At 41.4% G+C, this 12,970-nt stretch overlaps 1 protein-coding gene across 2 annotated transcripts in view; it reads left to right on the forward strand.

Moving 5' to 3' along the window:
- Window positions 1–12,970, forward strand: part of LMTK2 (lemur tyrosine kinase 2) — a 102,777-nt gene that overhangs the window by 39,849 nt on the left and 49,958 nt on the right. For both annotated transcript variants that reach the window (NM_014916.4, XM_011515981.4), the window contains exons 4-6: window positions 4,672–4,745; window positions 8,048–8,166; window positions 12,628–12,715. In NM_014916.4, the coding sequence (NP_055731.2) occupies window positions 4,672–4,745; window positions 8,048–8,166; window positions 12,628–12,715 (281 nt within the window). The remainder of the gene's footprint in view (window positions 1–4,671; window positions 4,746–8,047; window positions 8,167–12,627; window positions 12,716–12,970) is intronic.

A 12,970-nucleotide genomic window follows, 5' to 3' on the forward strand; every position in this document is an offset into this window, starting at 1 on the left:
TTAACACAGAGTTATAATTTTTTTAATGCATTCGTATTTTAAATTGTGTAGGAAATAAAAAGAGGCGTTAGACACCAATAATACAGTAATAACGGCTTTCGTATTTACCTACATAGTTACCTTTACTGGAGATCTTTATTTCTTCAGATGGCTTTGAGTTACTGTTTAGTGTCCTTTTATTTCAGCCTGGAGGACTCCCATTAGCTTTTGTTGTAGGGCAGGTATACTGGCAGCAAACTCCCTAAACATTTGTTTATCTCAGAATGTCTTAATTTCTACTTCATTTTTAAAAGATAGTTTGGCCAGATATAGAATTCACAGGTATTTGCTTTCAGCACTTTCTCTGTGTCATCCCACTGCCTTCTAGCCTCCACGGATTCTTTTGAGTAATTGGTTGTTAATCTTATTGAGGATCCCTTGTACATGATGAATTGCTTTTCTCTTGCTGCATTCGGGATTCTGTGTCTTCGGTTTTCTACAGTTTGTGTCTCAGTATGGATCTCTTTGAGTTTATGTTACTTTTTTTTTTTTTAAGTCTCACTTTGTCACCCAGGCTAGATTGCAGTGCTGCAATCATGGTTCACTGCAGCCTCGACTTCCTGGGCTCCAGTGATCCTCCCACCTCAACCTCCCAAGTAGCTGGGACTACAGGTGCACGCTACCACTCCTGACTAATTTATTTTTAATTTCTTATAGAGGCAGCATCTCACTGTGTTGCCTAATTAACTGGTCTCAAACTTCTGGGCTCAAGCAGTCCTCCCACCTTAGCCTCCCAAAGTGTTGGGATTACAGGCATGAGCCACTGTGCCTGGGCAAGTTTATCTTACTTGGAGTTTTTTGAGTGTGTAGATTCATGCCCTCTGTTTCCTTTTCTTTCTCACCTCCTTCTGGGACTCCAATTGATAATATGTCTCTTGGTTTATTTGACAGTGTCCCACAAGTTCCTTGGGCTCTGTTCCTTTTTCTTCATCCTTTTTCCTTTCTGCTTTTCAGACTAGATAATTTCATTTGATCCATCTTTAAATTCACTGATTCTGTCTGCCCAAATTTGTTGTTGGAACACTTAACTGTGCTTTTCAGGTCAAGCTTCTTCTAGAATTTCTAGAGAAATTCTTCTCTATTTGGGAGAAACTCATTCTCCTGGTTTCCTTTGGTTCTTTGTCCATCATTTCCTTTAGCTCTCTGAACATATTCATGACAGTTGATGTAAAGTCTTTTCTAGGCCGGGCGTGGTGGCTCACACCTGTAATTCCAGCACTTTGAGAGGCCAAGGTCAGGAGTTCGAGACCAGCCTGGCCAACTAGGGAAACCCCATCTCTACAAAAAAATACAAAAATTAGCCAGGTGTGGTAGCTTGTGCCTGTAGTCCCAGCTACTCAGGAGGCTGAGGTAGGAGAATCAGTTGAACCCAAGAGGCAGAGGTTGCAGTGCGGGATTGCACTGTTGCACTCCAGCCTGAGTGATACAGTGAGACCCTGTCTCAAAGAAAAAAAATTAAGCCAGGTGTGATGGCTTATGCCTGTAATCTCAGCACTTTGAGAGGCTGAGGTGGGTGGATCACCTGAGGTCAGGAGTTCGAGACCAGCCTGCCCAACATGGAGAAACCCTGTCTCCACCAAAAATACAAAAAAAGTTAGCCGGGCATGGTGGCGCTTGCCTGTAGTCCCAGCTACTCGGGAGGCTGAGGCAGGAGAATCACTTGAGCCTGGCAGGCAGAGGTTGCAGTGAGCCAAGATTGCTCCACTGCACTCCAGCCTGGGTGACAGAGCGAGACTCCGTCTCAAAAAAAAAAAAAAATAATAATAATAATAATAAATAAAAATAAAAAATAAAGTCTTGTCTAATAATTAGTCCAATGTCTGTTTTCTCAGTGACAGTTTCCGTTTGTTCATTTTTACCTGTGAATGGGCCAATTTTTGTTTCTTTGCATGTTTCATAATTTCTTTGTTGGAAACTGGACGTTTTGAATAATGTGATGTGCAAAAGAGAAGTAGAAGAAAGAAAACAAAAAATATTGTCTAGGTCTTTGCAGATTGACTCTGCTGGGGCACTCCTTCAACACCTAGCCAGGCCGTTTATAACCCTGACTTAGCCTTCACTTCCTTCTTGTGTTGGGCCTGAAGACCAGCTCCAGCTGAAAGCCTGTGTTCTTCCTCAGCCTTTCTGAGTACGCATCCTGCCCTGAGCATACACGTGGCTGTCTAGGTTCCCATCTACATGGGAGCTTTCCAAAGCCCCCTTTCTCCTCCAAAATCTCACTCCCCGGCTTTTCTGCCAAAACTTTCAGCATGTGCACTGTTGGCCTCAACTGTTGTTTTTGCCCTAGGTGGCAGTAGCTTGTTCTCATTTGCCTTTCGTTGTTTTCGAGGAATATGTGACCACTCCATCCTGATAGAATTGTGAGTTACGTGAAACAAAGAGAAGCCACTTGTGGCAGTTCCTCAGGACAACCCCAGTTAGGTCAAGTTAAACATAGTTCCTTGGGAATAAGGTCCACTGTGCTCCCCGTGGACCCTGGTACCCACCTGGGAACACAGGTCATCTTTAAGACTGCAGCTGCACTGGGGAGGGAGATTGGAGAAGCAGGGTAAGTTAAAGCTACAAAGATATTCTACCCTGTCTCAGTGGACTTTCTCCTGGCTCACTTTGGTTGCTGTAAACCTTTGACCATCTTCTAGAGTTTTTATAAGGTTGACACTGGCAGTTTAAAAAAAAGTCTTTTAGTGTTTCTTGGAAGGGACGGCTGCCAGAGGAGACATCTCTGCTCCACCATTTCCACTGCTGTCACCGTTTCCACTGCTGTCAGTTAATTCGATAGAGGTGCAGTTAAATGGTGCCGGAACAACTGGATATTCATTGGCAAACAAATGAACTTTGATCCATACCTTGCACCATATGTAAAAACTAACTCAGAATGCATCATAAACCTAAATTTAGAACCTAAAATTATAAAACTTGTAGAATAAACTCTTTATAATCTTTAGTTAGACAAAGATTTATTAGATAGGACACTAAAAGCATCATTCACAAAAGGAAATATTTATAAATTGGACCTTTTCAAAATTAAAAGCTTTTTGGAAATTAAAATTAAAATTTAAAGTGTTTTGGAGAACAGTGTTAAGAGAATGAAAAGTCTAGCCGTGGACTGGGAGAAAACATTTGCAGATTACATATTTGTTAAAGGACTTGGTTTCAGAAGATAGAAAGAACTTTCAAAACTCAATAATAAGAAACAGCCAATAAAAATGAGGCAAAGATTTGCATAGATATGTCACCTCAGAAGATATACAGATGGCAGGTAGGCAAGTGAAAAGGGACTTGATATCATTAGGCATTAAGAAAATAAAAATGCACTTTGGGAGGCCGAGGCGGGCGGATCACAAGGTTAGGAGTTTGAGACCAGCCTGGTCAATATGGTGAAACCCTGTCTCTACTAAAAATACAAAAAGTAGTCGGGCGTGGTAGCAGGTGCCTGTAGTCCCAGCTACTCGGGAGGCTGAGGCGGGAGAATCACTTGAACCCGGGAGGCGTAGGTTGCAGTGAGCTGAGATCGCGCCACTGCACTCCAGCCTGGGTGACAGAGCGAGACCCTGTCTCAAAAAAAAAAAAAAAGGAAAAATGAAAACTAAAATAAGATTGCATACCCTTTAGAATGGCTAAGATGAATAAGACTGACTACACCAAGTGATGGCAAAGAGACGGAGCAACTGGAACCCTTGTGTGCTACTCATGTTTTAGGAAGCAGTTGGCAGCTTCTTGAAAAGTTAGAGACACCTCCCATATGATCTCCTTCATATTTATTCAAGAGAGATGAAAGCACTTGTCCCTAGAAAGATTTGCATGCATGTATTTATAGCATCTTGATTTGTGATAGCCTCAACCTGTAAATGACATGAATGTCTGTCCACTTGTGAATAAGCAAGCAAGCTGTGGTATATTCATTCAGTGGAAAACTCTTCTGTGACAAAAGTAAGAATAAACTCTAGATACACTCCAGATCTTGATTGAATTTTAAAATAATTTATGTAAGCCATACCATCGAAAAAAGAGTACATACCATATGATTCTGGTTGCATAACATTTTAGAAAATGCAAATTATAGTGCAGACAGCACGTGAATGGTTGTGTAGAGATGGGGGCAGGTGGAAGGGATTACTGAGGGTATCAGAAGACTTGGGGGTAATGGAGATGTTCCGTATTTTATTTAGGTAATGGTTTCACAGGTGCTTACAAATATTAAAGTGTATCAAAGTGTATATTTTAAATATGTGGACTTTATTGTATATTGATTATACTTCAGTAAAACTTTTTAAAAATTAAGGAGAGTAGTTTAAGAGTGCTAATCATATGTCTAGGTGAGCTGTTCAAGAGAGATGAAAATGAAGACTAAGTAAAGGCCATTGGCCTGGTGATTGGTGGTTACATGAGAGTAGCTGGATCGGAAAAAAAACAATGCGCAAGGTATTAAAGAATTGGTAGGAAACTCATTAAAAAATATTGTCAGTTTTAAAGCCTAAAACTGTTTTGGCATGATTCGTTTAAAAGAGGTGTTTTATGTATTTATTCCTACCTTTATTTGCACAAGCCTTTATGTTAGTGTTCATACTTTATAGGTTATATATTTAATATTTAGATACTTATATTTCATTTTTAATGTTTTTTTCTCTACAGAGGGATTGAAGTCTCAAGTTGCCCGCCACAGTCTAAACTACATACAGGAAATTGGAAATGGCTGGTTTGGAAAGGTAAGATGCTCTTCACTTGCATTTGTTTTCCTCTGAATGATACTGTGTTCAGTGCAGGGCTGATGAAGAATTGTGTTGTGTGGAGTTCCACGTGCCCTGTGGGCCCTGCGTTACTAATTGAGTTTCCCCATTCCCCCTGTGGCAGCGTGGGGGCGTGAGCTTCAGCCTTGCTGTGTGTCGAGCCTTTTCCAGAAAGGATGTCTTACGGCATACAGGCTGTTATAACAAAATATCATAAACTGGGTGGCTTATAAACAACAGAAATTTATTTCTCACAATCCTGGAGGCTGGGAAGTCCAAGATCAAGGTGCTGGCTGAATCCGGATCAGGTGAAGGTGGCACTTTCCTGCTGCGTCCTCCCGTGGTTGAAGGAGCAGGGCAGCTCTCTGGAACCTCTTTTGGAGGGATGCAAATCCCTTTCCCTCCCAGAGGCCTTCCTCCTCTCCATCGCATTGGTCATTAGGTTTCAGTTTACGGATTTGGGCAGGACAAAGGACACAGACATTTCGATCATAACAAAGGCCTTTAAAAAAAAAGTATCTGAGACTTTTCTAATTGTTGACATAAGAAAGTAAGAAGGGAAAAGAGACCTGGAATCTTAGCAGCTTCAGCTTTGTATCCTTCTCAGGTTAGATTGTTTTTTTAATCCCTTCCCCTTATAGCACTTAAGCCACTTTAGAACTGTAAATACAGTCTTACAATGAAGACCACCATGAACAACTAGTCTTCTCTCATAGCCCGTCAAGTGGCCTGTAGTAACAATGCTTTGTTGATTTTTTTATCGTAGATGGCTCAGAAGGAGTAATCTCCTACAGCCATTTCCACAGTACTGCAGTCGTGCTCTGCAAGAGGTTCCTAATGGAGTAGGGATTACATCGTAAGCAGGATGCTTACAACAGGAGGATGCACTTCCCAGTAGTCAGCCATCTGCTGCTGCTTCTCCTTCCCTTCAGCGTTGTCTGTATCTTTCATGTCCTCCCAACTGTTTGAGTTCTCTTCTGCACCATTCAGCAAAACCTGTTACGTAGCAGCCATTGTTCTTGGTGCTAGGGGCACGATGTGGAGGAAGATGGGTCAAACCTTGACCTGTGTGGAGTCCTGTATGAGAGATCAAACAAAACCCTGTCTTCACAAGGCTTAGATATCTAGTTGGGAGGGTCACACAGCAAACAGTCAATTGTGGGAGGTGGGCTCAGAGAGGTAGAGGGCAGGCAGGTGATCTGGGATATTGTGTGCCTAGAGACTGCCTTGCTCGGAATGAAACGGGGAAATACTCTGGTGCTTGAGAGATCATGATGTAATTGAGTTACCTTTTTAAAAGGATCACTCTGGAAGTCATAGAGGGGGAAGGTGAAAGCAGGGAGGAGATGGGCTAGAAGGCTCCTGCAGGCCCAGGCAGCTTGAACCTGGATGCTAGCGGTGGAGGTGGCAAGAAGTGGTAGGACCCAAGACAGATGTTCAGACGAGAGCATGCGGGTGTAGACTTAGAGGGGATAAGACATGGACTGTGGAGGAAGAGGCAGTCAGATTGACTGCTGAGGGCCTGATGAACTGGAAGAATGGAGTTGCTGTCAACTGAAATGCAACAGACACTGCAGGAGAGGCAGGAGGAAGTCGGGAGTTCATCTTTGCTATGTCAGGTGTGAGTTGGCCGTTAGACAACTCAGTGGGGGCACCAAGTAGCTGAACTGGAAATGCAGAGCAAGAGTGAAGGAGAGAGGGTCCCGGCTGGACATGTAAATCCGAGTGATCTCGTTTTATAGAGTGTATTCAAAGCTAGGAGACTAGGTGAAGTCATGGAGAATTTCAAAGTGGAAACCAGGGGGAGGCTCTGCAGCAGGGAGAGGCCAGTGCAGTCAGGGAGAAGCAGTGAGGAGGGAGAAGCCCAGGAGACAGGAGTCTTCTGAAAGTTCCAAGAAGATTAATTGCAGTAATGCTGCAGCTTACAAATGGAGTAAGATGAAGCCTGGGAGAATGAGGATTCAGCAGCATAAGTTCCTTGGCGTCCTTGAAAGAAGTTGTTCAGGGGGAAATGGTGATGGTACATCCTTGCGTGGAATGGATTCAAGAGAGAAAGAGGAGACGGTGCATTTAGACAACCCTCTTGAAGAGTTTTACTCCTCAAGGAGCAATAGGCTGGACGCGGTAGCTCACGCCTGTAATTCCAGTGCTTTGGGAGGCCCAGGTGGGAAGGATCACTTGAGGCGAGGAGTTTGAGACCAGCCTGGGCAACATAGCACAACCCCATCTCTAAAAAAAAATTCGCTGAGTGGGATGGCACACGCCTGTGGTCCCAGCTACACGGAAGGCTGAGGCAGGAGGATCACCTGGGCCCAGGAGTTCGAGGCTGCAGTGAGCCATATTTGCACCACTGTGCTCCATACAGGGTGACAGAGCAAGACTGTCTCAAAAAAAAAAAGAGAGGGTGATTTAGTTAATTATCAGAATTTCTTGTTCTCCATTTTTCTGTCCTTATATTTCTAATAAACACATTGAGTTCTGTTCTGGTTCTTACTGTATTTTCAGGACATTAAAATTAATCTATTTTAAAAGGAACTATTTTAAAAGAAGTATTTTTATTTTGATCATTCTCTTTTTTTAAAAATCATTCTCTAGAGTTCAATAAAAACCCTTATTCGCATTTTCATCTTGCACTTTGGAATACCTTGGCATTGTCCTGTTTTATATTTAGCATTTCCCTTGTAGCTAGTTCTCATGTGAGGCAGCAGATTCTCATTTCGTGTTCTGCTGATTTCAGTGGGGTGTTTTGAATGGAGATTTGGTAGGAGATCAAGGCCGGGTATCATTGGATGGAGTGCGATGGGTGTTTAAGTTTCAGGGCAATGATTGATTGTAATTAGCTTTCGTCAGTTTACTTTCTCATATGTATAGCAGACTAAATAACAAAACTTAGTGGAAGTGTTTTTGAGGAACATTTGAGTTATGTTGGAACTGAACTTATAAATTGCACTTCTGTAAAGTCATAGTGAATTTCCTTGAAGTAGAATACATTTTTAAATAAATCGACACAAATAAGTATAAATACATTTTAAAATAAATAGAAAAGAAATATGCATAAATATGTGAATATTGTAACTATCTGGTGAATGGTTTAAAATGGTCCTTTTACTGAAGAAAAATATTTGAGTTTTCCAAGCTTTTGGTGAGGTGGTAAGTAAAAGAATAGAAGGTCACCTGCTTATTGCTTAACTTGTTCACCTGTGTTCCATTTCCCGGTAAATGCAGCAGACTCCTTTATCATTTTGATGGAAATGACACAAAAAACTGTTCTTTGATTTTAGGTTCTCTTGGGAGAGATTTACACGGGCACTAGCGTAGCAAGAGTCATCGTGAAGGAGTTAAAAGCAAGTGCCAACCCAAAGGAACAAGATACTTTTTTGAAAAATGGAGAACCTTACTAGTAAGTAAACCTTGTCATGTGTTCTGTAAGACTAGTCTGTGGTCTGTTGAAGGTCAGGTGTTTAAAACTACTGTGGGATTTCTGCCTGTAACATACATGATTAAGTAAGTTCCAAGGTCTCATAAGACCTAAAATGTCCAGGCGTCATCTGAAAATCACTTAGCATTCCAAGAACCAGGAGAACTCAGCCTAAACCAGAAAAGACAACAGATTCCAACACAGATGACAGAGATGTTAGAATTACCTGACAAGAATTTTAAAGCACTCATCATAAAAATGCTTTGTGAGCAATTGCATCACGTTTAAAACAAAAAAAATAGTCTCAGCAGAGAAATAGAAGACATAAAGAAGACATAAATGGAAACCTCAGGACTAAGAAATACAGGAACTCATCATTTCAGTTACAGCCTCAGGGGCATGGGGAAATATAACAAAAGATCCAGCATTATTCATGTCATAGATGTCTCAGAAGGAACGGAGATAGAGGATGGGGCTGAAAAAGGATTCAAAGCAGTAGTTAGGCTAAAATTTTCTACATTTGGAAAAGAAAAAGCCTACAAATTTAAGAAATTGAGAAAATGCTAAACAGGATCAACCCAAGGAAATCCATGCCAAGACACATGGTCAAACTTCTGAAAATGAAAGACAAAAAATCCTAAAAGCAGGGAGACAGAAACAGCACTTTACCTATAGCGGGAAGCAATGTGGAGGACAGCCGATTTCTCATCAGAAACCTGGAGGCCAGAAGGAATCAGCACGTTTGTCACTTTTCTAAAGAAAAGAACTCTGAAATTCTTTCTCCAGAGAAAATATCCTTCAGGAATGAAGGGGAATATCAAGACATTCTCAGATGACAGAAAACTAAGAGAATTTATTACCAGCAAACCTGCCTTAGAAGAATGAGTTTTCTAAACAGAAAAGAAATGATAAAAGGAGGCGTCTTGGAACATCAGAAAAGAACAAAAATATGGCTGAACTTCCTTAAAAAGGCTGATTGTATCATCAAAATTAAAAACATTTGCGTTGTGATAGACCTTGGTAACAGTGAAAAGACGAGCCACAGACTGGGAGAAAATAGCTGGAAACCACGTAGCTGACATAGGACTCATATCTAGAATTTATAAGAAACTCTCAAAACTCAACAGAAAAAAAAAACCTAATTCAAAAATTGTCAGAAGACATTAAGAGACATTTCACCGAAGAGGAGATAACATGGATAGCAAATAAGCACATGAAAAGACGTTCAGTGTCATGAGCTACTAAAGTAATGAATTAAGATCCCTTCATACCTATTAGAAAAGCTGTAATGGCCGGACGCAGTGGCTCACGCCTGTAATCCCAGTACTTGGAAGGCTGAGGCGGGTGGATCACAAGGTCAGGAGATTGAGACCATCCTGGCTAACACGGTGAAGCCCCGTCTCTACTAAAAATACAAAAAATTAGTCGGGCGTGGTGTCGGGTGCCTGTAGTCCCAGCTACTTGGGAGGCTGAGGCAGGAAAATGGCGTGAACCTGGGAGGTGGAGCTTGCAGTGAGCCGAGATCACGCCACTGCACTCCAGCCTGGGCGACAGAACAAGACTCCGTCTCCAAAAAAAAAAAAGCTGTAATGAAAAAATAGTGACAATACCAAATGCTGGCAAGGATGTGGAGAAACTAGATCCCTCATACATTGCTTGTGGAAATGTAAAATGATAGAGCCACTGTAGAAAATAGCTTGGCAGTTTCTTAAAAAAACAAAACATACGTTAAGTTATATATTAGCATTAGTTATATATTAGCATTCTCCAGAGGAACAGAACCAATAGGATGTGTATGTACATGTATATCTAAAGAGAGATGTTTTTAAAGGAATTGGCTCATGAAGTTACGGAGGCTGGAAAGTCTAGAGTCTGCAGGGTGGACCAGGAGGCTGGAGACCCAGGGAATAGTCGATGTTGTAGTTTAAGGCTGAAGGCTGTCTGCTGGCAGAGTTCTTCCTTCTGTGGGGGAGGTCAGTCTTTGTTCTGTTAGGATCTTCAACTGATAGATGAGGCCCACCATTGTTGCAGGATCTGCTTTACTCCAAGTCCACCGATTTAAATAGTCATCCGCTGGGTACGGTGCCTCAGGTCTATAATCCTAGCCTTTTGAGAAGCTGAGGCTGGAGGATTGCTTGAGCCCAGGAGTTCAAGACCAGCCTGGGCAATGTGGTGAGACCCTGTCTGTAGAAAAAATCAGAAAAATTAGTTGGGCATGGTGGCATCACGCACCTGTAGTCTCAGCTCCTCAGGAAGCTGAGGCAGGAAGATCACTTGAGCCCAGGTGTTCAAGGCTGCAGCGAGCCATGATCACACCACCGTACTCTAGCTTGGATGACAGAGTGAGACCCTGTCTCGGTAGGTAGGTAGGTAGGTAGGTAGGTAGGTAGGTAGGTAGGTAGGTAGATTATAGATAGATAGATAGATAGATACAGACAGGCAATAATTTCATCAAAAAACACCCTCACAGAAACATAATAAGGATAATATTTGACCAAATACCTGGGCACTATGGCCCAGCCAAGGTGACACACAAAATTAACCGTCACATCATACAGCCCAGCAGTTGCATCCCTTGCCATTTATTCCAGAGCAGTGAAAACTTTTTTCCGTACAAAAACCCTTGCATGATTGTTCATAGCAGCTTTATTTGTAATTGCTAACAATTGGAAAAACTAACATGTCCGTCAGTAGGTGAGTGGTTCAGCAAAGCAGTACACATTTCCTGGAGCACTGCTCCCACATTAAAAAAAAAAAAAAAAAAAAATGAACCATTGACACATGGAACACCTTGGATGACCTCAGGGGGATTATGTTGAGTGAAAAAATCAATCTCAAAAGGTCACATACTATACCAATTCCATTTATATAATATTCTTAGAATGAGAACATTCTAGAAATGGAGAACAGGTTAGTGGTTGCCAGGGGTACACATGGGTGGGGCGGGAAGATCTTTGTGGTGATGGGATAGTTCTGAGTCTCCATTGAGGTGGTGGTTACACACATCTGTGCACGTGCAGACCTGGCATGGAGCCCTGCACACACTTTATCACAGTGGCAGTTCCCGGGTTTGGGTGTTGCACTGTACGTCATTGTGTCAGATGTAACCAACAGGGGAAACTGGGTGAAGGGTATACCAGGCCTCTCTCTGCTGTCTTTGCAACTCCTGTGAGTTCATAATTGTATCAAAATAAAGGGTTTTTTAAAAAATTATTTTGGCATACCTTTTATTTAACTATATTTTCTTTTGGACACAATATTTTCCAAAAGGAGTTTGCATATACTGTGGAAATTTATGGAAAAGAATGTATAAGCTAGATAGCCTGAAGGAGAAACTGAGTTATTTAATATCTGGACTGAAATACATATTGAATTTGTTTTGTTGTTGTCGTTGTTTTGAAGCAGGGTCTTGTTTTGTCCCCCGGGCTGGAGTGCAGTGGTGTAGTCATGGCTCACTGCAGCCTCCACCTCCTGCGCTCACGCAATACTCCCGGCTCAGCTTCCCGAGGAGCTGGGACCACAGTTGCGCGTCCCCACACCCAATTAGTTTTTCTGTCTTTTGTACAGATCTGGTCTCCCTTTTTTGTCCTGGCTGAAATACTTACTGAATTTGTATATACAGTTGGCCCTCTGTATCCACAGGTTCTGTGTCCATGGATTCAACCAATGGTGGATGGAAAATATTAAAAAAAAAAATGGAAAGAAATAATGCAGTAGTAAAAAAAATATAAATAATACAGTATAACAGTTTTTTACATAGCATTTACATCGTATTAGGTATTACAAGTAATCTAGAGACTATTTATATGGGCGGATGTGCGTAGGTTATGTGTAGATAATGACACCATTTTATGTAAGAGACTTAAGCATCTTTGGTTTGGATTTTGGTATCTTCAGGGATTCATGGAACCAGTCTCCCGCAGGTACTAAGGGATGACTGTATAGTCTGCCCTCTTTTAAATGCTGCTTTAAAATATTATCTCCTAACTTAAATTACTAAAGATAAAAATTCTTGAGGCCAGGCATGGTGGCACGTGCCTGTAATGCCAGCTATTTGGCCAGCTGAGGTGGCAGGATCACTTGAGCCCAGGAGTTGGAGGCTGCAGTGAGCTATGATTGCACCACTGCACTCCAGCCAGGGTGACAGAACGAGACCCTGTCTCTTGAAAAAAAATTTTTAAAGTTTCTTATGTTAAGATTTCTTTTTTAATTTGTGAAAATATTCACTTGATTGGCTTTGAATTACTTGCTAGATAACTTAGTATACACCTTTTAAGTATAATCTTCGTGATCTTTTTAGCCTGTCATTTATGTAAATATTATATAAATTATTATGAAAAAATTTGGATTACTATTTGAATAATTTTATTAGTATGCTTTTGTTTGAATAATGTTATTATCATGCTTCCTGATGAACAATATTATGGCTTTTATTTTTCCCAGCATTCTTCAGCATCCAAATATTCTTCAGTGTGTTGGACAGTGCGTAGAAGCGATTCCCTACCTCCTGGTGTTTGAGTTCTGTGACTTGGTAAGTTCCTTGAAGGAATTCAAGTTCGAGTATTCCAGAGGTTGTATTCAAGTGTTTTTGACAGATGGACATGCTGGATGAGGGGTTGCTTTCATGTCTGTCCCCCACTTGAAGAACTTTATGATGAGTTACTTTTATTCCCTTTGGTGATGGTGATAGTGTTGACTGACACTTACATAGTGGTTTGTTACACTGCAGTCCCTGTGCTAAGCTATTTAGTTGCCTTACCACACTTAATGATAACAAACTCCAGAG

The sequence above is a fragment of the Homo sapiens genome, chromosome 7, assembly GCF_000001405.40.
Source record: "Homo sapiens chromosome 7, GRCh38.p14 Primary Assembly".
Lineage (NCBI taxonomy): Eukaryota > Metazoa > Chordata > Mammalia > Primates > Hominidae > Homo > Homo sapiens.